General features: G+C 39.6%; 1 protein-coding gene across 7 annotated transcripts in view, besides 1 other annotated feature; it reads left to right on the top strand.

Moving 5' to 3' along the window:
- Window positions 1-24,683, top strand: part of TNFSF4 (TNF superfamily member 4) — a 277,864-nt gene that overhangs the window by 241,463 nt on the left and 11,718 nt on the right. For 2 of the 7 annotated variants that reach the window (XM_047429896.1, XM_047429902.1), the window contains exons 3-5: window positions 2,086-2,247; window positions 20,702-20,750; window positions 22,406-24,683. The exon at window positions 22,406-24,683 is cut by the window's right edge and continues 857 nt beyond it. In XM_047429896.1, the coding sequence (XP_047285852.1) occupies window positions 2,086-2,247; window positions 20,702-20,750; window positions 22,406-22,755 (561 nt within the window). In that variant the 3' untranslated portion in view covers window positions 22,756-24,683. The other 5 variants (XM_011509964.3, NM_003326.5, XM_017002228.2 and 2 more) reach the window with 5 other exon arrangements.
- Window positions 1,949-2,008: an enhancer, noted in NCBI's record as "active region_2098". NCBI's record gives its function as "activates an Ori minimal core promoter by ATAC-STARR-seq in GM12878 lymphoblastoid cells {active_cell/tissue: GM12878}" and the evidence as "EXISTENCE:reporter gene assay evidence [ECO:0000049][PMID:35858748]".

Below are 24,683 nucleotides of genomic sequence, written 5' to 3'. Positions count from 1 at the left end.
CCAGCCTGGTGTGTGTGTATCTCTTCCCACAAAGAATGTGAAGAGCTGTGAAAACGTGTTCAATAAAAAAAGAGACAATTAAGTGTAAAATATCACTTAAACATCAACAAAAATTACAACTAGGCAAAATATGGTAGTAGGACGACAAGACAATAAAAATGAGAGGTGTGTCATCCAAGTGTTAGCCTAAATGTGGGTAGAGATGACTCTGTGCAAAGATTTTTCTTTCTCGGAGCCATGATATTAACACTGAGAAGAAATGCTGCTTAAGGTACAAGTATGTGCATGGTAAATGTTTATTTTTTTCATTCTTTTGACAGTAATTTAAAAATGTTATCTACGATTTTCAGCATGAATAGTTTTTACTACTTTTTCAGCTTATTTCTAGTTTCCAATAGTATTTATGGCTTTTTTTTTTTTTGCTGTGACTCTTAGTCATTTTTTGAAAATTGACGAGTAAATAGTTACTGATTTTAATACTCTTTTATGAAGAACTATTACACAAGAATTGGGCTTTACACACTGATTTTTCCTTCAGCTTTTTTCTCCACACCCTGTATGTAACACAAGCTTTGTTCAAGGGAATAACTATGACAAATATGTTTGGATACAATTTGATTTCTAGTTTTGGCTTGGAGTCTATGATATTGTGCCTTAGTTACCTTATCTTTCAGATAAAACTTAAATTTCTCAACACCAGTATGTTCTCCTAATGCAAGGCATAATTATTGTAGTGAAGGTATTAATTCATATTTTAATTGATTAATACTGTAGTCATAAATGTACTTTACATTTCCCACAAACTTTCTCTTTTAAGTATGCCTCATTTCCATTTTTTCTGTGAAGTGGTATAACAACTCATACTGTCAATATCCAAAATATTTCTCCCTCCTTTCTTTACATATCTGCTGGGTGCCTCATGGGGAGCTGAGAGAGACATACTTGGCCACAAAGAGAGACAATTCCGTCTTAAACAGCTTTTCCCCAGCATCCTTATGTTGTCCAGTACAGTGCCAGGCTCATGTGATGTACTCAGTAAATATTTGCCCATTTGAACTTTACATTATAAGTAATTTTATCATTTATTTCATTTCATTGTTTATTTTAGTGGTAAAGGGTACCTGGTGTCTATTGATAGAATACTCTTACTTTCCAAGTTCTGAGGCCAGCCACGACCTCAAAGAAAGAAATAATCTTCAAAGCTTATTTACATCTATTCATTTGTTCATTCATGGAAAAATTATGTACGGGAAAAATGTGAAGTGGAAGGAAAGGAGACAAGGATACCCTTCTGCTTCTTTTCTGGTATGCAGAAAATTAATCATATAATTGTTTATTGAATTTGCCTCAAAGGGTTAAATGAGAGAAAGATTGCAAGTCCATCTAACACAGTGTCTGACACATAGTAAATGCTTCCAAAAGGTAGTTTATTTTTATGCAATAGACTACAACCAAGGATCTCTCCTTTACTTCTGCATGACCCAGTGTCCTATTTTCTTGTTTTGTCTTTTTCATTCAAGAATGATCTGTGTGTGCTTTCTTTCTGAATCTGTGAGAGGGGTTCAATGTTTAGTTACATAGTAAAGTGCAGATAAGAACCTTGGGCCAGCATTTCCCCTAAATCTTTTCTATGATTTAAGACACCTTGGGGAAGGGATATATGAGCTGCTACATTAACGGATGATGATTTTTATCTTTACCAAGTGACCCACAATTTGTTACTGGTGCAATAAGTTAAGAAAATAGCATACTTTTATGACTGTCATTTCACAGTCACTCAAATCAGAACTGGAATGTCACAAAAACAACTCCCTGTTAGCCCAGAGGAAAAAAAAAAAGAAAGAAAGTAAAGGGGAAATTCAGATTAGTCACAAAGAAGTTCCCCCGCCTGCCTGCAAAAGTTGCAGCGTTAAAACTGAGAGAGTCCGCTTTGCTCTTTCAATCGCCTTTTATCTCTGGCCCTGGGACCTTTGCCTATTTTCTGATTGATAGGCTTTGTTTTGTCTTTACCTCCTTCTTTCTGGGGAAAACTTCAGTTTTATCGCACGTTCCCCTTTTCCATATCTTCATCTTCCCTCTACCCAGATTGTGAAGATGGAAAGGGTCCAACCCCTGGAAGAGAATGTGGGAAATGCAGCCAGGCCAAGATTCGAGAGGAACAAGCTATTGCTGGTGGCCTCTGTAATTCAGGGACTGGGGCTGCTCCTGTGCTTCACCTACATCTGCCTGCACTTCTCTGCTCTTCAGGTAAGATGCACCACTGGGCGCTGTTTTCCCACCAGCTCATGCTGATGGCAGCTGCAACAGCTGCAAACAGTCGCTTGGAAATAATCTTATGCCAAAAGTGTTGAGTTTTTTTTCCCTCTCCCCACAGCAATCGTAAAGTGTGGTTAAACGCCCTTCTGTCTCTCCTTTCCTTCCTTCTTTTCAGCAGTGGCAGTGGTAGGGCAGAGTGGAGGTAGGGCAGAGGCACAGCTTCTAGATCTTTTTCTTTTTCTTTGCAATGCAAGATTCCTTGTATCCCTTTATAAGCTGTCACTTTGAAGCTTTGAGTCACTGATATACCTGGTCTACCCATTGTGATAGTAATGTGTTTGATCAGGCAATTAATATTAAAAGGAAATAGGAAAGAGACCAGTTCCACTTTCCCATAATATTCATATACCCTATAGACCTGCAAGGTGATTTTCTTTGTAAAGAATGCTGAAGGTATCAATATTAATAGCGGAGCAATGTGTGCGTGCATGTGTGTGTGCCTATGTGCTCACTCATTCACCCCAATGATTTAATCAGATATTGTTTCTCACAATCTATCTCTTCCAGTCATAATTTAAAGACATCATTTCACCTTTTCCCTACCTTATTAAATACATCATGTAGTAGGAGATTATCCTTCTAGTATTTTCCCCATATAGTTAAAATATTTCCATTTTTCTTTCACTTTATTCTTGTTCCACACTTCTCTCTTTTGCATTATTTTTTCTTATTCAGTAGTTCAGATATACAAACATTATTAGGTATTTAAGGATGTTCTTCACTGCAGAAGATGCCACTGGAGAAAAATAAATCTATACTCTCTTCGTGTTCCTTTGTTGAGCTAGTCTGATAATCTTGTTTTCTAGGTGGTTGCTTTGGGTTAGAAATGTTTCTCCCTGATAAAGTTCAGGTAATACAAACTGATTTCTGATGGTCTTGTCTGAGATTAAGCACCTCCAATGAAACCAGAATGAGATGAGCAGTCTTGGCAAATGCCTGGGCTTGTTTCTGCCTACAGGAAATAGGGTTTTCAGTGCATGGAGGCTGGTAAGAGTGTGTGTGGTTATGATCACTGTACCACAGACAGTGCTTGTGTCTCCAAATTCCAGAAGTGTAGCTAGTGTCATGCTCAGGTCTGCAGAACAGTGAGCACAACAACACATTGATCCTCTCCTCATCACACCACACTCTTATGTCTTCTCGCAGAACTCTTTGGGTGAAATTAAAGTAGGCGACTCGGGGAGAGGGTGTGGGGGAAGAGTAAGGTGTCCATGGCAGGATGCCCAAGACATCGACCGGATGCCCAAGACATCAACCGGAATTAGGCTCTTTTGAGAAGAAAACAAAGAGAGTAACCAAATATAGAACAGCTGAGTGCATTCACCAGTCTGGGAGCCCTGAGAGTGCTTTTTCTAACAACCACAGTGTTACATATTTCCTTACACCATGGGATGATAAAACACAGGACACATGGCTCCATTCAAGGCTAACTGATTGCACAACGGCTCTGAGCAGGAGAGAGCAAAAGGTGAACCACAGTTGTACAGCTTGCTGGTGGTTGGGGTCACATTGGACTATCAATATCCAGGAGATGTTGAGAAAAAGAGGGGATCCTTTCCAACAAGTCATCCAGCAACTCTGGGACAGAAGGAAAGCTGTGGGAAGAAAAGCAGGGTGCTGGTTTCTAGGACACTAAACCTCATGGTGAGTGATCTCTAGGGGAGAATTAGCTTCTATAGTCCTGGCACAGAGATGGAAGCAAGACATAGGTGGTATATTTGAGTTGTTTGCTTAAGAAACATGCCCTGTCTACTCTGAAAATAGATTTCTTTTTTTTGCTCAGGATATTTGAAGTTCTTCACTTGATGTTAATTATAATTTTTTTATTTCTAATTAGCTAATGTAATTTCTTATATTGTTATAGGATCTGGGACAGCACAATGGGTCCTTACATTTAATCTTATATTTATTATTTACACTTCATTATGAGAAGGATAGCATAGATGGGTTGTGTGTGTTTTCCCTAGAACCTGATAGTTTACCAAATAATGTTGGTGGCAGTGATAGCAGCAGTGTGTGTGTGTGTGTGTTTGTGTGTGTGTGTGTGTGTGTTTCTGTGTGTTTGAGAGAGAGAGAGAAACAGAGACAGAGAGATTGAGAGAGAACATTGTAGAGCAGCTGCTGACAAAGAGACATAGACTAGTAGCCATTTAAAACTCATCTACAATACTGTTTGGAAGTTTGATTGAGGGATCGGGTGGTGGTGGTGGTGGTGGTGTTGGTAGTGATGAGGCAAGTCAAACCTCTATTTTATAAGACATAATGTTACAGTGATGTGTATTGGAGGTGAAATAGAGCTGAAATGCTCACCATTTACCCAGTTAAATTGGACCTCTTTTATTGTGAGAGAAAGGTTTTTGGGAAATAATTGTGATTTTCCCTTTTATTTCTTAGATTTAATTTTTTAGCCTTATAAAATAATTGCCTACATGAATGGCTCTGTAAATACAGATATAGCTACCAAGCTCCATTTGGCCGTCAGCTTTCCTTTCAATCAAGTTTATTTAGTAGCCTCTGTTTTCTCATCACTGGGTTAGGTCTATCTACATGCAGGAAATGCAGAATATTTTGTTTTTAAGATGCTAGAAAAAAAGTTAGACCCTACCCACTCCTCATCTAATTTACTTTCCTCTTTGAGCCTTGATTTTTATAATCTGTATTATGAGAAAGTAGGATCAAATGATCAATAAGATGTCTTCCAGCTCAATATCTTATGAGTATATAGTTTATATATTCATAGAATGGATATAAGGATTTGAGAAATACAAAATGTGAGTTAGTATATTTGTGTTTAAGCTTATGGATTTCCTGGCTCCTAAGAAGGGATTGAGGGGAATCAAATTTGCACATATGTACTTTTCTATACTTAAGTTATATATTCTGTACATATCTAAATAACCTATTCTGGATTAGCAAAACACACTGTTTAGAAAAGGGAAAGAAGTGAATGCCCTGTAAGAATATTCATGACATAAGGTATATAATTCAGTGCTTCTGTCACCAAAACCAATACACACTGTTTGGATATTACATTGGGACATCCACTTAAATTGTCAGGCTTCCAGTCTTACCTGGAACTTCAGCTATGGAACAAAGGCAGAAAAAGCTGACCTATAAGGTGTGAGAAACCTCACTGAAACCATTGAAACTTGGCTTTTCCAAGATTCATATCACCTTTATCATCATGCTCAAAGACCTGAAGGCTTTTAGTGATTTTTTTCAGCAATTCCTACTTATCACTTTTTTTCAGTTCTTATCACTTTTTTTTCAGCTGGGAACAACAGAAGTAGAGATACTTAGAAAGTGAGTTGACCAGTTCTGTATCAGTGAAAGCTGGAATTAGAATTCACAGTTTCTTAATGAAGTTTCGGGCTACAACTTGGACCTTTCTTTGTATCATTTAATAAGAGAAAGAGGAGTTTGCCTGAAAAAAATATTGTTTCAGATTAGCTTAATTTAAATGTCTCCATGTCATTTAGAAAGTTTTTAGAAGTTCTTTTTTAACAATAGACCTGCAAATAAGATAATTTCAAAGGCATTTGAATTTGCTTTTCATAAGCAAATCTTTGAGAATTAAAAAATTAACATCTGAAGTTGACTTGGCTTGTCATAAGGCATTTTGAGGCTTCTAAAGGAGGTATTAAACATATAGAATCATTGAATTTGGGGGCAGGTATTAGATATAGTCTATTTACAGATAAGAAAACAGAAACCTAGAGAGGGTAGGTGAACCATTCGTGACCACTTAGCTGGTTAATTCACCAGAACTCCTGATTCCTACACTATGGTTCTTCTTATTATCAATGAAACCATCCTTACACAGATTTTTTTCCATTGAGTGTTTACTTGTGCTAGGTACCATTTGAGGCACTGGCGATATAAACATCCATTGGAGAAGGTTTTTGAACTATTTACACTCACAGTCAAGATGCAGGGTGGGGACAAAAGAGTGACATGCTCAAGGGACAATGGGAAGATGAGAGGAGGGAGGAGGGAGGGCTGCCTCAGCCTTCTGGGGAGTCAGGAAAACCTGCAGGAGGAGATAATGCTTCAGCTAATACTAGAAGGAGGAGGATAAATTATTTAAGCAGACAAGCGGATGGGAATTGGTGGGTAGGGGTAGAAGGCTTACTAGGCAGAACAGCAAGTTTTTCTGAATAGCTCAAGTTGAGTGTTCCTGTGGGAAAGTGGTGGAGATGAAGCTGAAAAGCTGGGGAGGTGGGGAGCAGTTCACAAAGGATCTTGTGAATCATGCTAAAGGAACACGCTTCATTCTCTCCTACGCCAAAGGAAATACAGGAAAAATTACCAACATTGTTACCTCTCCAAATTTTGCTTCTCTTGTGTAGTCTGTATTTTGGCAAATATAGAAAGTGAGTCTAATCTGAACAGCACTAGGGGGCACCACAGTAAAAGTAACGATTCTCTTGTGTCTGAAGACAGCTTATCCTCTTTTCCTGAAGAGTTGATTAGAAAACTTCTCAGGCAGTCAAGTGCTCATCCACAAATAAGAGAATGAACAATATCAGGGGCAGCTAATATTATTCACTATTTGCAGAGTGATGATATTTTCTAAATGAAGTGTTTAGATATATGTTTTGATCTGGGTATTCAAAATAGGACAGAATAATTTGGATGGGGATGATGCTGGAAAATATTGCACGTGTATGCACATATAGATCCAAATATACACACACAGAGGAGAGTTGGGAAACAAGCCAAAAGGCTCTAGGTATAGATCTAGGGATACAATCTCTCTGTTCCTCTTCTCTGACCTCAGCTGCTGGTTACTAGTACTGAGTAGACCCAGCCTTGTTTAGGGGCTGGCCACCTTGGCCTTCCACTTCTTCTTCTTCTTTTATATATATGTGTATGTGTGTGTGTATATATATATATGTATATATATATAGCAATTACTTCTCTCTCAAATGACAGCTTACCCCACTTCAGGGATTCTCCATTCATGGAAAATGAAAGTTAATCCTTTTGCATCATTTGGGTTAGAGGAGCTACATACAGTGTTGTTATTACTGTTTAATGAGGGAAAAATAACCCAGCTGAGTTGTAGGTGGAAAGGTTTATGTTTCCATAGTCACTAATGAAATACATGGTAGAGTTGGATTGAAACTGAATTTTCTACCATCCTATGCTTTGTATATTTCGTTTGTAATCACCCATGCTTTTGATAACCAATCTTTTCAAACAAAGGAATTAAAACATTTGCTTATACAAAGCTATAAAACATCATCTCAGATTTTGGAGGACTCATTGAAGTATAAAGGGAGTGCCCTGGGCCAGGAACCAGAATTTTTCAGTCCAGGCTTTTACCTCTTGACCCCAAGTAAATTTCTTGAAATTCCCTGGGCATCAGTTTAATCATTTCCAAGACTGGAATTTGGTTGTGGTGAGGATTAATTGATACACAGCTTTGTAAATGCTAAGATTATTATTATCATTATCCATGAACATGCTTCCGTTAACATACTGCTACTAAAATGTTGACTTTATAGTATGTGTGTGCACACATACACACACACTGTAACTCAAATCTCAGAAAGCATATCAAAGTTAATGTTAACCATAACTTCATGAACCTTGATTTCCCCAATGTAATTTTTAGGATTAAAAAATCCACCTTGGAAGAGTCCTATTATTTTTAAACATAGATTTCTAATTAAGATTTCATGGGTGCATTAGAGAGCAAAAGAATGAAGGGGAGAATTTATGAGGTTATGAAGTGTGATTAGGTTCAGTGTCTGCACGTGGTTCAGAGATCTAAAATTACGTACTCAGAGCACATGGCTTAGGCTATTTCCGTTTCTTCTTATTTTGATATATTTCATCCAATTCTCCAATGACTTGGCTACCAAATAAGGCAGGAAATTAGATTTATAAGAGGCATATCATCTGGTTCACTAATCTAGAAACATTGGGGAATATTCCTGGCATAACTAAAATCTTTTTTCAGTAGGCCTTTCATTCTGAAATGCACCTTAATTTTTATAAGTTTGCCTAGCTTGATAACATGCAAATGCTATTTAAGAACACATGCTTCTTGACAGAAAGATGGACAAACAAATCTGAACTTTAATTCTTCTTATACTAATTTAATAAGATCTTGTGGTTAGAGAGCCTTCATTCCCAAAGTACTATATTGTACAGGTGGGGAAGTGAGGGCTCCAGTGAGTTTAAGTGATGTAGCCTCAGGGCTGGGCTCCCCAGCGGCAGCCAGACCTTCATCCTAGAAAGCCAGTGAAACAGTGTCAAAGATCAAGATGGAATGACAATATTACAAAAATGATAAAGAACATCAAAACATGCATCAAAGGAAAGCATCTTAATGAGATATAAAATAAGTCATAAAACATGTATTTTACAGTTTAGTAATGTAAAACATATTTTGAATTACTTGTGTGTTGGGTGATGACAATTTTTAGCTTCTAAGACCCCCATGCATATTAATCTGGCCCTGTATATGGTGCAATAAAACCTAAACTCAAACCGTTTTTTAGAATGGACGGGTAGCAGGGAGGTTGAATGGTATTATTCAATGTACTACTTGCAGTAACAGTCTCTCATCTTTGCAGAGCTTTTTCCTACTTCTGACCTCATTTCTTCACTAAGACCTTGGAGAAAGATGGTGTGCAGTTTTACACTGAGGAAATATGAGGTATAGAGACTTGACTAGGTTTGCACAGAAAGGTCAGGGTTAGAAATTAAGACTCAGTCTAAATTCCAGTCCTATCTTCTGTTATGCCTGGCCACGAGGCCACGAGTCTGAGCTTTAAGAATGTTGGCTAGCTGTTTTTAAAATTCATTTTCTTTTTTGGCATTAGTGTTTTTTGAAGAAAAATTGGAGGAAGGATTTATGCCATCATAAAGGGAAGAAAGACTCTTTTTAAAAAAAGATTTAAATATACTTACACAAATGTAGATAACATAATCAACAAAGCTTTAACAATCACATAATAACTTATGGATTATTTTTATAAAATGGTCAAAGCATTGTATGTATGATATATTTGTACAAGAGAAAGAGGACCTGAATTCTAGTACTAATTCAGTAATTTATTCTCTCTGAGTCTTACTTTCCTCTGCATTTTTTTTAAATGATAATGAGATTAAGCTATATAATCTCCCAAGGCCTTTCTAGTTCCATCAGACTGATTCAAAGAATTACTTAAGTGATAGTGTAATTTGCACACTCTATACAAATACCTATTCAACCATGAAGAAGTTTCTTAGGGCTATTGGAACAGATTACTACAATCTGGGTAAATTATAACTACAGAAATTTAGTCTCTCACAGTACCGGAGAATAGAAATGTGAAATCCAGATGTCGGAAGGCCACGCTCCTCTGAAGGCTCTAGAGAAGAATCCTTCCTTGCTTCTTTCTAGCTTCTAGTGGCTCCCAGCAATCCTCAGTGTTGTTTGACTTGTAGCTGTATTGCTCCAAGCTCTGCCTCTATATTCACATGGCCTTCTTTCAAATGTGTATCTTGTGTGTCTTCTCCTTCTCTTCAAGGACACCAGTCATATTAGATTTAGGGCCCACCCTAATCCAGTTGACTGCATGTTAACTAATTACATCTATCTACAAAGACCCTATTTCCAAATAAAGTCACATTCTGAGGTTCCACATGGACATGAAGTTTGGAGGGACACTATTCAAGCCGCTATAAAGCACTTATTCATCAACTTATTCAGCAATGTTTATGGAGCATCAGTTACCTGTCAGGCACTGAGGACACAAAGGTGAGTGAAATAGACGTGGTCCTCCCTGCCCTCCCAGAGTTTGCAACCCAGTAGGAAAACAAGGCAGTTAAACAAGCAATAGCGTATGATAAGCACTGGATAACCAAAGAGGGTACGGTTCTTCAGTAAGAAGTTTCACAGAAAGCTACCTACCAGCTTTAATACCTAGTATCTTGATTGGGATTATAAAGTGGGCATACTTGTTTTTTGCATTAGGTACTTGGTTTCACTGCCATTAATTAACAGGAAGGGTTTAGTTTAAAATGACATGGTCATCATTGTCACCACCATAATCCTCATCCCACTGCTATTCTGTGATGATGTTACCATTCGCCAGTCTCAGTTTGTATCAGAGCACAGGTTGAGGATTATTTAGCCCCCCACAGATGAGGTGAAGAGCTTCACTGCATGCACAACACTAGGGATCATCTTTTTTTAACTTTTATTTTAGGTTCAGGGGTACATGTGCAAGCTTGTTATACAGGTAAACTGTGTGTCATAGGGGTTTGGGGTACAGATTGTTTCATCACTGGGGTAATAAGCATAGTACAGGAATAATCTTTTTGTTTGTTTGTTTTTTGAGATGGAGTCTTGCTCTGTCACCCAGGCTGGAGTGCAGTGGCACGATCTCGGCTCACTGCAAGCTCCGCCTCCTGCGTTCACGCCATTCTAGTACAGGAATAATCTTAGTTGCTCATTTACTATCGGAGGGAGCCACTTGGGGAAAAAGAGGCCTGCTGCTTTTGTTACAGCAGAGGGGTCTATTGTGTTGAAAGTGATCTTCTGTTCAGAAGGTCTTCTTATCACACAATCCTTTGAAATCTATCTCGCTTTTGAATATTGTGATTTGCCTAATCTTTGAAATGGAAATTTTTCATTAGACACTTTATTCCAATAATCTAAATTGAGTTTAGACATTGAAATGAGAATATTAGAAGCTGAGGAAGGGAAAGAACATTTTCTGGTCCGGGAGAAGAACTCAGGTGTGCCTAGTCCCAGTGCAATGTCTTGTTCAGTCTACCAGGTTGCCTTCTCAAGACTATATTCCCTCCTTGTTATATAGCAAATCAGATAAGGGAATGAGTGATTTCAAATAAAGAGACTGACTGCAGTAATTCTGCTACTGTCTTTGTATTCAAGGATGAATGGGCCAATTTCTTTTTTTTTCTTCTCTACATTGAACTTTTATTATGACAATATGCAACTGGTAATGTGCACCGTGACTGAAAAGAGTTCTTATATAATTTGATTTGGTACTGGCATAAGAATAGACAGATCAACGTTTGGAATTTAGAATCCAAAACTAAAGCTGCACATTTATGGTCAATTGACTTTCTTTTCTTTTTTTTTTCTTTAACTTTTATTTTAAGTTCCAGGGTACATGTGCAGGATGTGCAGGTTTGTTACATAGGTAAACGTGTGCCATGGTGGCTTGCTGCACAGATCAAACCATCACCTAGGTGTTAAGCTCAGCATCCATTAGCTATTTTTCCTGATGCCCTCCCTCCCCTTGCCCCTGCAACAGGCGCCAGTGTTGTTCTCCCACATGTCCATGTGTTCTCATTGTTCAGCTCCCACTTATAAGTGAGAACATGCGGTGTTTTTCTGTTCCTGTGTTAGTTTGCTGAGGATAATGGCTTCTAGATCCATCCACGTCCCTGCCAAGGACATGATCTTGTTCCTTTTGATGGCTGCACAGTATTCCATTCCATGGTGTATATGTACCACATTTTCTTTCTCCAGTCTATCACTGATGGGCATTTGGGTTGATTCCATGTCTTTGTTATTGTGAATAGTGCTGCAATGAACATATGTGTGCATGTACCTTTGTAATAGAATGATTTATATTCCTTTGGGTATATACCCAGTAATGGGGTTGCTGGGTCAAATGGTGTTTCTGCTTTTAGATCTTTGGGGAATTGCCACACTGTCTTCCACAGTCCTCTACAATGGTTGAACTAATTTACATTCCCACCAACAGTGTAAAAGTGTTCCTTTTTCTCTCCAACCTCACCAGCATCTGTTGCTTCTTGACTTTTTAATAATGGCCATTCTGACTAGAATAGGCCAATTTCTAAAACCTTGAGCAATGTATAGTGTTGACTAGAGCCAGTGTTAGATATTACATGATCTTGTAGCTGATGAAGGTCCAGGGATGTCCTGAGGGGCTAAGTTCCACCTTAGTTCAACATTTATTTACTAAGTGCCATTATGTTTGAGACATGGTAGGAGGTATGGCAAGGCAGTGGGTACCTTGTAAACCTACCCTTCCAGTAGCTTAGAGACTAAGCTGATCTGAGAATATTACAGTAGAGACTTAACCAATCATTGAGGTGGGGACAGGAGTTCTCAGAAATGTTTTAGTAAATCCCTCTGTCAGTGTACTTTGAGTGCTTCCTCAGTTGTATGTGGGAAGGGAAACCAAGATACAAGAAAATCTTCCCTCTGACGATATGAAGAGTTGGTGCATTAGGTCAATCACATAGATTTCATGTCACATGGATACTTTTGGTTGATTTGATTGTTTACCTAAATATAGGACATTTCTCTTGGGAATCTGTCAGTTGCTAATTGTATTAGGGACAATAAAACCACAGTTCATGCTCTCTCTGAAACAGAGAGGAGAGAGGCTTCTCTGCGGGAAAACTCATAGCCGTTACTTAGTAGACTCGATGAGAAGAGTGGAAGTGGTTAGAGAGAGAGGTGGCTATGAGGATATCACGCAGGATATACAGTGGGGAGGAAGGTGGAGGTTAAGAGAGAGATGACTGGGAAAATATGCTGGCAGAGATGGTAAGGGTTTGGCATGGAGAAAGAGAAGGCTTTGGATGGCAGTTAAAATGGCTTTTCTTTGTGTTCATTAAGTCCCAATAAACTCGTTATCCAACAAGGTTTTCAAAGCCACACATCTTTGTCTCTAAGAAATGTAACTTTTGGGATAAGTCTTTCTGAATATGAGAAACTCCTTCACCAAAGAATCAGTTTTTCCCATTTTTCCTACTCCTCTCTCTAGGTGGAATTCTGAACTTCCGTGATCAGAAGTCAGGGCTCATCTTTTTGTAAGGGGGCTGCTTCCACTGAGAATAGACCATGTCTGTCAGATAAGGATCTATCCTCTCAGTCTACTGTGGTGGCTAAGAGTGAAAAATTCTCCCTTTCTCTTCTGAGGCCCCTTGAGACACACCCTGAGAGCTTGTGAGGTCATGCTTTCATGATCTCTCAGATCTCCACTGGTTGGCATGAAGCCCAAGGTGCGGGGAGGAGAGGTTCACGTCCAGTGGCAGTGGTTTGGTGAACTGGGGAGTCCCCACTCCAGATGTGTTTCCCTCTACTAGCCCACTACTACCACCCTCTACTAGCCCACGTCCCACTGCTGCCCACCACCAAGGCCTTGACATTGTGGCCTTGTACCAAGCAAGGAATGGCAAGGCCGGTATAGTGAGTGCAGAGCCCACTTCCTGGTTTCATGCTTGGTGAGTATCATTTGCTCCTGCCACAGATACCCTTCACCAGGACAAATGTCAAATGGGTTTAAGGTCGACAGCCCCATACCACATCCTAGTGAGTCAGAATTAGAGGTACACACTCTCCAAAGATGAGCTCTTGAAACAAGTGTCACTTTCTTGGGAACACAGCACAGCCTGCTGAATAAATGCCAGATATCAGACACTTTCCACCTTTGTTTTTGGACAGCCCAGTGCTAAAAGCACTGAAGGAGGCCAAGAAAGAACCTAATTCTGACTCTTCTTTGCTACACCTGCATGGGGAGCCTGCTTTGTACTTGTCCATGGGCCTGCAGTTCCTTGCCAGGACAGTTTTACCTAATCAGAGCTGAGCTAATAATTCTGGCAACCTGAACTACATAGGCAACCCTGCAACATTGGTTGAGGAGCTCTTTCTAGAGCAGGGTTTCTGGATATTTTGATGTATATCTGTGTATTTTGACAACTATTCAAAAATTAATATTTAATCTTATTCAGTATTGATGATGAAAACAATTCAAGTTAATTTAGGACCCTCAGATAAATGCTTTTTTTTGGTGTTATTTACTCTTATGATAGTGTAGGATAAAGAGAAGGGATGTTATCATGAACTTGGGATTCACCTGAACTCAAATGAATAAATATTTATTCCCGACCAAGTTCTTAGCAGCACTAATTTTTATTTCCCTATCTGTAAAATATGGGTAGTTATTCTTTCTACATCACAATGTTATTTTGAGCAGCAAATGGGATAATACATTTGAAACAGTGCATAGCATATTGTAAGTACTCAATAAGGTTTTATTTATTCTTTGCCTTTTTTTTTTTTTTTTTTTGAGACAAGTTCTCTCTGTCATGCAGTGGCATGATTGTGGCTCCCTGCAGCCTCAATCTCCTGGGCTCAAGCGATCCTCCCACCTTAGCTTCCCAAGCAGTTGGGACCACAGAGGTGTACCACCATGTCCAGCTATTTTTTTTATTATTTTTTTATTTTTTTGTAGAAATAGGGTTTCACCATGTTGTCCAGGCTGGTCCTGGACTCCTGAGTGCAAGTGATCGGCCTGCTTTGACCTCCCAAAGTGCTGGGATTACAGGTGTGAGCTACCGCACCAGGCCCTTTTTCTTGAATGCACAAAGGATGGCCTCATTTCTAGACTTTTCTTCCAACTATTAATAATTATAGAATGTCTTTTGCTCATCCAGCTCTTCTCTGTCTTTCAAGGCCTAAGTCCAGGTCTTTCCTCCTTGTGCTGTCAAAGCCTACAGTGATTTTTCTGTTCTTTGAAATGTTATGACTTACATTGCCTGTAGGTATTTACTAAAGGTTTTATGTACAGGGACTATTTTCCCAACTGGCATAGAAGTTCATCAAAAGTAAGGATTGTATGTTCTATCTCCTTGTGTTCCAAGAGTTGAGTGTAATAACTGCTGCATAGCAAGTACTCAATAATTGCTGATGTTATTTTTAACCAAACTACCAAATAATATGACAACCATACTATTCATTCAACTACTGAATAACACTTACAGCAGAGAAAAAATTTCTTGAGCACCAGCTTTTGGACAGGCATGCTTTTTGCACAGGGTGTGGTTGAAGATAAATTCTCTGGATTTAGACTTTTGGAAGTTCATAGTTAACAGCAGTGATTTTTAAATCTGAACCTTGGTTACTTGTAAAAATGAAGATTCCTTGATCTACCCAGACCTTTTGAATTAGAGTCTTTGTGAATAATCTGACCATCTGCACTTAAAACAACAACAACAACATATTTTGGTGGTGATTCTAATGCACATTTAGAGTTTAAGAACCACTGGGCTGGTAACCTTCCTGTTGCATTATCAGCTGCTGCCAGACATGACGCTTGTACATTACATTATTCAGTCATTTGGTCAAAGAGCCCATATTTGCCAAGTGGGTACTTGATTGTTCCTTTTTTTTTTTTTTTTTGCTTCACTTATGGGAGCCCTGAAACCCAAGAGGGAAGCCTGGAGTGTGGGCTCTCCCTTTTCTTTCTCATGATGAGGTCATTGCCAATCATCTGTACGGCAACTTCTTCTTTTCTCTAAGCTTGCTATTAAAGTGGACATAAGGAATGGAATATTAAAATCTTCATAGAATTTTTTTCTTCAAATTCGCGTGGGAGAAAAATAGTACTTGTGTGGTATAATAAAAATTACTGAAATTGAAGGGCATGCATCAAATCTCTTCACTTCTGTGAGCCTTAATTTCTTCATATGCAAAATATAATGTTCAACTAAAATATGACTTCTTTTGCATTTTTTTCATGCTTCTAAGACCATTACATTCAAAATTCACGGCTATACTTCAATTCTGGCATGGATACTTAGGAGCATTTGCATTTCATCCTTGAGTATGGTGTGGACTCTTCAGACCTTCCAGATTGAAGAAGCTTTAGTCTATAGACTGTGCTTAGATGGAAGCCCCCTGGCCCTTTGATATTTTCTATTTTCTTTGAGTATGTGGAGAAGATCTGGGGATTTTGCTTTTCTTGATATACAAAACACTAAGTCTATGTGTGGGGGTAGACCAAATGTCTTCTGATTGTTTTCTGTCAACCTTTCTCATGAAACCCAAATTCTTTTGTATTGTTTCTCTGAGGTACAGGGAGTCAGAGCACTGATATGATAACTTTGTTAGTCTTTGTTTTTTTCTTTAATCCATTCCTTCATTCTGTTGTCATATAGTTTATATAGTATTATGTAGAATAAATTATGAACATGACATGGATATTGTTTTCCGTGTGCATCCAAGAATAATTGCTGATGTTTATTAACTTCTTGCAATGTTCCATGACAGGTCCTGATCACTGACATATATTATTTCATTCAAACTTTACAACTCTCTGATATACAGATTTTTACTATCTCCATTTTACAGATTAAGGAACAAAATCAGCAAGATAAATGCAATTTTCCCAAGGTCACACAGCTAAGTAGTCTTGAGTAGAGGAGATAAGACTTGTATTCACTGGCAGTATAATCAGTCAATAGAGTGTTTTTTAATGTTGGGGTTAACTGTACATTCTGTGGGTTTTGACAAGTGTATATAATGACATGTATTCACCATTACAGAATCATACAGGATGCTTTCACTACCCTAAAAACACCCTGTGCTCTACCTGTTTATTCCTCCCCCATTCCTAACCCCTGGCACCCACTGATCTTTTTAATCTCCATAGTTTTGCTTTTTCCAGAATGTCATATAGTTAGGTCATTCAGTATATACCGTTTTCAGATTGGCTTCTCTTGTATAATAATATGCATTTAATATTCCTCCATGTCTTTTCATAGCTTGATAGTTCATTTCTTTTTAGTGCTGCATAATGTTCCATTGTATGGTTGTATCAGTTTATTTATCCATTCACCTACTGAAGGACGTTTTGGCTGCTTCCAAGTTTTGACAATTATGAACAAAGCTGCTATAAACATCTTTGTGAATGAGTGACTTTAAATACTTGTATGGGAATACAGAGACTGAAACTCAAGGATTTGATTTAGGCCTTGAAGATGGTAAGATTTTAATGGGCAGAGACAGATGGAGGGACATGCTGGAGGCAGTGGTGTGATCTTGGCTCACTGCAACCTCTGTCTCCTGGGTTCAAGCGATTCTTGTGCTTCAGCCTCCCCAGTGGCTAAGATTACAGGTGCATACCACCACGCCTTGCTAATTTTTGTATTTTTTGTAGAGACAGGCTTTTGCCATGTTGGCCAGGCTGGTCTCAAACTCCTGATCTCATGTGATCTGCCTGCCTCGGCCTCCCAAAGTGCTGGGATTACAAGCGTCAGCCACTGCATCTGGCCTACATTTTTAAAATGCTTACCACGTACCATGTGCTGGCAAACTGCTGGATGCTTTAAGTTATCCTATCTAAACTTGGTGTTCATCTTCTGGAAAGTTCCGCTCACAGTATTATGTCTTATTTTCACATGTATAAAGGCTAAAGCGAAGAAATGCTATAACTTTTCCAAATTCAAAGAACCAGAGAAGTCACAGTTTGAACTAAATCTGACTCCAAAGTCTATGCTCTTTGTGCCATCCTACCAGGCTGCCTACCCAAGTGCAAGGAGATCAGAACAAATAGTTGGCTGGATCATTAGACACAGAAAGGATATATGTGGCAATAAAGCTTGACAATGAGGTTGGAGCCAGGCTCTTCAGAGCTTTGACTTGGGCACTGTGGGGGTGTCTCTGGGCACTGGGGTAGTCAGCATGAGGTCATCAGGTATGGAGGATGAGGGGGAAGATGGTTGGAAGGCCAACAAATAAGAAGAAGGACCATCTTTTTCTACTTCACAACATTGCCTAAACTTGATGTTAGTAAGAGACTTCTGAGGATATGCAAACTTCTACCCCTATGTGACCTTCAGGAGAAGGAACAGGATACCTGAGTCTGGAGTTCCAGTAGGTCAGCTTCCTCCAGGTTGATCTACTGGAAGTCTAGACTCCAACACGGAGGAAGTCACATGTGCTTTACTCACTCACTGCCTGTCAGCATCATCGTCCCAGAGAATGTCTGTTTGGTCACTGCCACCCTTACTTCATCAGGGCACCTCAAAAAGTTGGAACATTCCTTAAGTTGCAGGATATTTTTGGAGATCTTTGCAAAGTCAGTCAAAATAATCAAATCACAAGGGCTTTTAGATCAGGGAGTGAAAGTAAATTTGGGAATGAGGAAGCTTTATGTTTTTTTCTCTTTTATTAAATTAAACTTAAAGTCACAACTTCTAAAATCTAAATCATGGAAAGCTAGTGCTGAAAGGAATGCCCCTGATCTTCTAGTGACTTTTAAAGATGAGAAACTGCCATCTAAGGAGATTATGAAACTTGCTTAAGTTGGCACAGTGCCTGCCTGCCTGGCATTAGCACTCTGTCACTGCACGCTGAGGCCTGTGCTGTTTGTGCTACTCCACAGAGGGCTTCTTTCTAACTTTAGCACGTGGCAATTCATGCTGGCACTTAGCCCAGAGAGCAGTGGAAACATTTATTTACCCAGGAAACTATGGTCATTGGGTCATTTGCCTTCTGACAGGTTTTCTTCCAGAGCATTGCCCTTAAGCACGAAGGGCACTAATTAGCTATCACACCACGAAGAGTACAGAGAAGGGGGAGAGCTAAAGACTCCTGCTTCTACCCAAGTCAGTGCCTCTCTCCATGTGCTCAGCACATTGAACTCATATTGTTCCTGCAGCCCAGTCCCTGGCAGGGCTCAGAATGACTCTCCATTCTTCCTATGCTGCCTGTTGGTTTTAGCTGGTAAGGCTTGTGATTATACTTGTAATAGAAGTAGGGAATTCCTCGTCTGTGTGGGCAGGTGCCAATGGAATATGCTTGACTGAAGCTACCAGTGTGCCAGGAGAGTGGGAAACAGGAATTCCCCTACCCAGGGCATAAAAACAAATCCGTCTTCACATTTTTGATTAGGACGTCATGCCAAAATAAGCTTGTGGGAAGAGCCGTTGTTCTTGGCAGGCATAATAGGCTTTTATTTTTTTGAGATGGAGTCTCCCTATGTCCCTCAGGATGGAGCGTAGTGGGGCGATCTTGGCCCCCTCCCAGGTTTCAGTGATTCTCCTGCCTCAACCTCCCAAGAAGCTGGGATTACAGGCATGTGCCACCATGCCTGGATAATTTTTTTTTTTTTTTTTTAAGCAGAGATGGGGTTTCACCATGTTGGCCAGGCTGATCTCGAACTCCTGACCTCAGCTGATCTGCCTGCCTCAGCCTCCCAAAGTGCTGGGATTACAGGCATGAGCCACCGTGCCCAGCAGACATTTTTTTCTACTTTCTTTTTTAGTAGATAAGACAAACAAATGGCACAAAACTTTTTAAAAAATTAGACCATGAAAAGTAGAGGTCAATCCTACTCCTGACCTCAGGCTTCCAATTTTTTTCTCCAGGGACAACATTTGCAACTAGTGTCTTGTGTATTCTTTCAGATACATTAATGTATTGTATATTCTTTCAATGCCCACACAGGTGTTATTATTATTATTTAACACAAATGGCAATATATTTTATGTATAATTCTGCACCCCCCCCAACTTTTTTTTACTTAAGAGATCTCGGAGTTGGTTCCATATTGAGCTTATTTGTTCTTTTAACCACAAAAGTACTGTAAAAGTTTTATCTATCAGGTTTCCTGTCTTCACTGTTTTACTTCTCTTTTAGCAATTGAATACTGACTTAATTCAAGTTAGGTTTTTAAAGCTGTTGAAGAGAAAGATCCAATGTTTAAAAAAGCTACACCAAATATATTGAGCTCTGTAGGATTGGGACAGTTTTTATTGCCTTTGTCCCCTGAAAATAGGATGCTTTTACTCCTGCGTTAAAGTGAAAGACCAGACATGCAGGAAGCTTCCAGAACTCCCTCCCAGTGCATTCTGGGAGTCTGTGGCCATGATGGATTGATTGAACCAGCATTCTCCATGAGGGAATCTCTATGACTGAATAGGTTTCTTAACAATATGACTATAGTGCTACGTTATCCAAAATGGGAAATTGGGGCACAGTGAGACAAAACAGTATACCAAAGAAGAGTTTGGCAGAAATGCGGACAGATCTCAGACGCTTGCATGAAGGAGCACAATAGTCCTAATTTATCTTAAGAGATATTATGGAAAAGCAAGGGGGAAGGTGGAAGTCTAGGTCCAATCTTCATAGAAAAAGTCAGGGCCGGGCATGGCGACTCATGCCTGTAATCCCAGCACTTTGGGAGGCTGGGTGAGAGGATTGCTTGAGGTCAAGAGTTTGAGACCAGCCTGGGCAATATGGCAGAACCCCATCTCTACCCCCTCAAAAACCCCAAAAAACAAAAATTAATCAGGTGTGGTGGTGCGTGCCTATAGTCCCAGCTACTCAGGAGGCTGAGGTGGGGGAATCACTGAGCCCAGGGAGGCGGAGGCTGCAGGGAGCCGTGATTGTGTCACTGCACTCCAGCCTGGGTGTCAGAGTGAGACCCTGACTCAAAACAACAACAACAACAACAACAAAAAAGTCAAGTCTTCTGTTGTTTTTGTTTTCTCTACAGGCTACTGCATTTCTGCTTCACTGTTCCATTAAATATGACTTGCGAATTTCATTTGTTCATGTTTTTTTCCTAAGAATATGTCTTTCTTCCTCCCTCAGGTATCACATCGGTATCCTCGAATTCAAAGTATCAAAGTACAATTTACCGGTAAGTATTGTCAAAAGTTTAATTGATTCATATTTTTGAAAGAATCTTCTCTTCAGTCTCTTAATTTCCTCTAGAACACAAGATCTCTTCTTTTCCTAAGGGAAGGAATTAAATTCCAATTAAATCCCAGAATTGTTGTAGCCTGCATATTATTTTCATTAGGGATACAGATGTATAAAGAGAAAAGGGGATTAATTATTCATCAAATATGTGCTTGTCTCTGTACTAATCACTTTATGTTCCTCATTTAATCCTCCAAGGAACCTTCTGGGTAGAAATTATTTCCATTTCTTAGTTAGGGAAACTAAGGCTTTACTTCTTACAAGTCTGTCTGACTATAAGACACATTATTGCCTGCTAATTGTATTCTGGGGCAAGAGTTTACCTTAATGAAAGTTGGGGGAAGCCCTTGATAGAATAAAAACTTCGACTCCAGAGAGAGGATTGTTTGGGTCCATGATTAGTGCTAGCACAACCCCTAGTGGTTTCCACACGAATATTCATTTTTTAGTTAAGTTCTCCTGAGCCTGAGGGAAGGGAAGTATTTCTTGTCCTCCATAAGTGGTCCTCTTTTTCAGTTCAAAAGTATGTCCCTCTGGACTGGTACAAAGCAAGAATTACTGAATTGTGGCTAGCGGTGGGGACCTATTCTTTTGCCTAACAAAGGAACATGGGCCAGAACAGGGTGTGTCCAAGATGTGGTTACTTGGCTATTCAGGATGATTTTAATGCTAATAAGGAAATAAAAGAAGTTCAGGCTTTTTGGCTTGCACTTGGGATGGCCCTGCACAAAACAACCAAGTCTATCACTGCCTCCTACTCCACTTCCTCCTTTTCTTTCTCCTGTGGCAGTGACTCTTCCCAAAGTACCTTCCGGGAAAAACTAGCAACAGGAGGTAGAGAAGAGAAGCAAGTATATGCCCTTGAGCTCTTCCACCTGCAGCTTTGAGAGCCCACCCTGAATCCACAGATACGGTGTGCACAGCTGCATTATTAAACTTAAGTGACCGCTAACAAAGGCCACTAGTAACTGCTGTGGATAGGTCCAATGCCTGGGGCATGTGGAAAATTTGCATTTCATGGTCAGATGACAGAAAGGCAAGAGTTGAAAACAATTGCTTTAAGTCAAGCTTCAGAGTATGGGTAGTGTGCAGGGCTAAGGCATGGGGCACCACTGCCACCCTTTGCCCATAGTTCATCCACTGAGCAAGAAAGGAGGCACTGAAGTTGCCAATCCATCCTTGTTCTGAAAAATTGGGGAAACCCTGAAACCACCTGTCCTGCTATAGGTGCTTTGTGACAATTTCTGTAATCTCTCAGCTCCTGAATCTCAGCCCCATCTGAGACTCTGTTGGGCATTAGTGTTAACATTGCCTCTTCTTCCATTCCACAGGTAAAGCAGTTTCCACCCTGCAGGTAGAAACACAGTGCTCTCTTGCTTTTACTCCTTTTTCTTTTTTTTTTTTGTTTGAGACAGAGTCTTACTCTGTTACCCAGGCTGGAGTGCAGTGGCGGGATCTTGGCTCACTGCTTTTACTCTTTTCAAAATCTCTCCCTATCACTTTCTCTTCATCTGATTCCAGATGTATTGGAAGGTTGTTGCCCAATTCTATGCTTAGGAATTAATTAAACAAATTTTCCCCTATCCTCCCTAGAATATAAGAAGGAGAAAGGTTTCATCCTCACTTCCCAAAAGGAGGATGAAATCATGAAGGTGCAGAACAACTCAGTCATCATCAACTGTGATGGGTTTTATCTCATCTCCCTGAAGGGCTACTTCTCCCAGGAAGTCAACATTAGCCTTCATTACCAGAAGGATGAGGAGCCCCTCTTCCAACTGAAGAAGGTCAGGTCTGTCAACTCCTTGATGGTGGCCTCTCTGACTTACAAAGACAAAGTCTACTTGAATGTGACCACTGACAATACCTCCCTGGATGACTTCCATGTGAATGGCGGAGAACTGATTCTTATCCATCAAAATCCTGGTGAATTCTGTGTCCTTTGAGGGGCTGATGGCAATATCTAAAACCAGGCACCAGCATGAACACCAAGCTGGGGGTGGACAGGGCATGGATTCTTCATTGCAAGTGAAGGAGCCTCCCAGCTCAGCCACGTGGGATGTGACAAGAAGCAGATCCTGGCCCTCCCGCCCCCACCCCTCAGGGATATTTAAAACTTATTTTATATACCAGTTAATCTTATTTATCCTTATATTTTCTAAATTGCCTAGCCGTCACACCCCAAGATTGCCTTGAGCCTACTAGGCACCTTTGTGAGAAAGAAAAAATAGATGCCTCTTCTTCAAGATGCATTGTTTCTATTGGTCAGGCAATTGTCATAATAAACTTATGTCATTGAAAACGGTACCTGACTACCATTTGCTGGAAATTTGACATGTGTGTGGCATTATCAAAATGAAGAGGAGCAAGGAGTGAAGGAGTGGGGTTATGAATCTGCCAAAGGTGGTATGAACCAACCCCTGGAAGCCAAAGCGGCCTCTCCAAGGTTAAATTGATTGCAGTTTGCATATTGCCTAAATTTAAACTTTCTCATTTGGTGGGGGTTCAAAAGAAGAATCAGCTTGTGAAAAATCAGGACTTGAAGAGAGCCGTCTAAGAAATACCACGTGCTTTTTTTCTTTACCATTTTGCTTTCCCAGCCTCCAAACATAGTTAATAGAAATTTCCCTTCAAAGAACTGTCTGGGGATGTGATGCTTTGAAAAATCTAATCAGTGACTTAAGAGAGATTTTCTTGTATACAGGGAGAGTGAGATAACTTATTGTGAAGGGTTAGCTTTACTGTACAGGATAGCAGGGAACTGGACATCTCAGGGTAAAAGTCAGTACGGATTTTAATAGCCTGGGGAGGAAAACACATTCTTTGCCACAGACAGGCAAAGCAACACATGCTCATCCTCCTGCCTATGCTGAGATACGCACTCAGCTCCATGTCTTGTACACACAGAAACATTGCTGGTTTCAAGAAATGAGGTGATCCTATTATCAAATTCAATCTGATGTCAAATAGCACTAAGAAGTTATTGTGCCTTATGAAAAATAATGATCTCTGTCTAGAAATACCATAGACCATATATAGTCTCACATTGATAATTGAAACTAGAAGGGTCTATAATCAGCCTATGCCAGGGCTTCAATGGAATAGTATCCCCTTATGTTTAGTTGAAATGTCCCCTTAACTTGATATAATGTGTTATGCTTATGGCGCTGTGGACAATCTGATTTTTCATGTCAACTTTCCAGATGATTTGTAACTTCTCTGTGCCAAACCTTTTATAAACATAAATTTTTGAGATATGTATTTTAAAATTGTAGCACATGTTTCCCTGACATTTTCAATAGAGGATACAACATCACAGAATCTTTCTGGATGATTCTGTGTTATCAAGGAATTGTACTGTGCTACAATTATCTCTAGAATCTCCAGAAAGGTGGAGGGCTGTTCGCCCTTACACTAAATGGTCTCAGTTGGATTTTTTTTTCCTGTTTTCTATTTCCTCTTAAGTACACCTTCAACTATATTCCCATCCCTCTATTTTAATCTGTTATGAAGGAAGGTAAATAAAAATGCTAAATAGAAGAAATTGTAGGTAAGGTAAGAGGAATCAAGTTCTGAGTGGCTGCCAAGGCACTCACAGAATCATAATCATGGCTAAATATTTATGGAGGGCCTACTGTGGACCAGGCACTGGGCTAAATACTTACATTTACAAGAATCATTCTGAGACAGATATTCAATGATATCTGGCTTCACTACTCAGAAGATTGTGTGTGTGTTTGTGTGTGTGTGTGTGTGTGTATTTCACTTTTTGTTATTGACCATGTTCTGCAAAATTGCAGTTACTCAGTGAGTGATATCCGAAAAAGTAAACGTTTATGACTATAGGTAATATTTAAGAAAATGCATGGTTCAT

The sequence above is a fragment of the Homo sapiens genome, chromosome 1 (assembly GCF_000001405.40).
Source record: "Homo sapiens chromosome 1, GRCh38.p14 Primary Assembly".
In the NCBI taxonomy this organism is placed as follows: Eukaryota; Metazoa; Chordata; class Mammalia; order Primates; family Hominidae; genus Homo; species Homo sapiens.
This window is presented reverse-complemented; position numbering and strand designations above follow the sequence as displayed.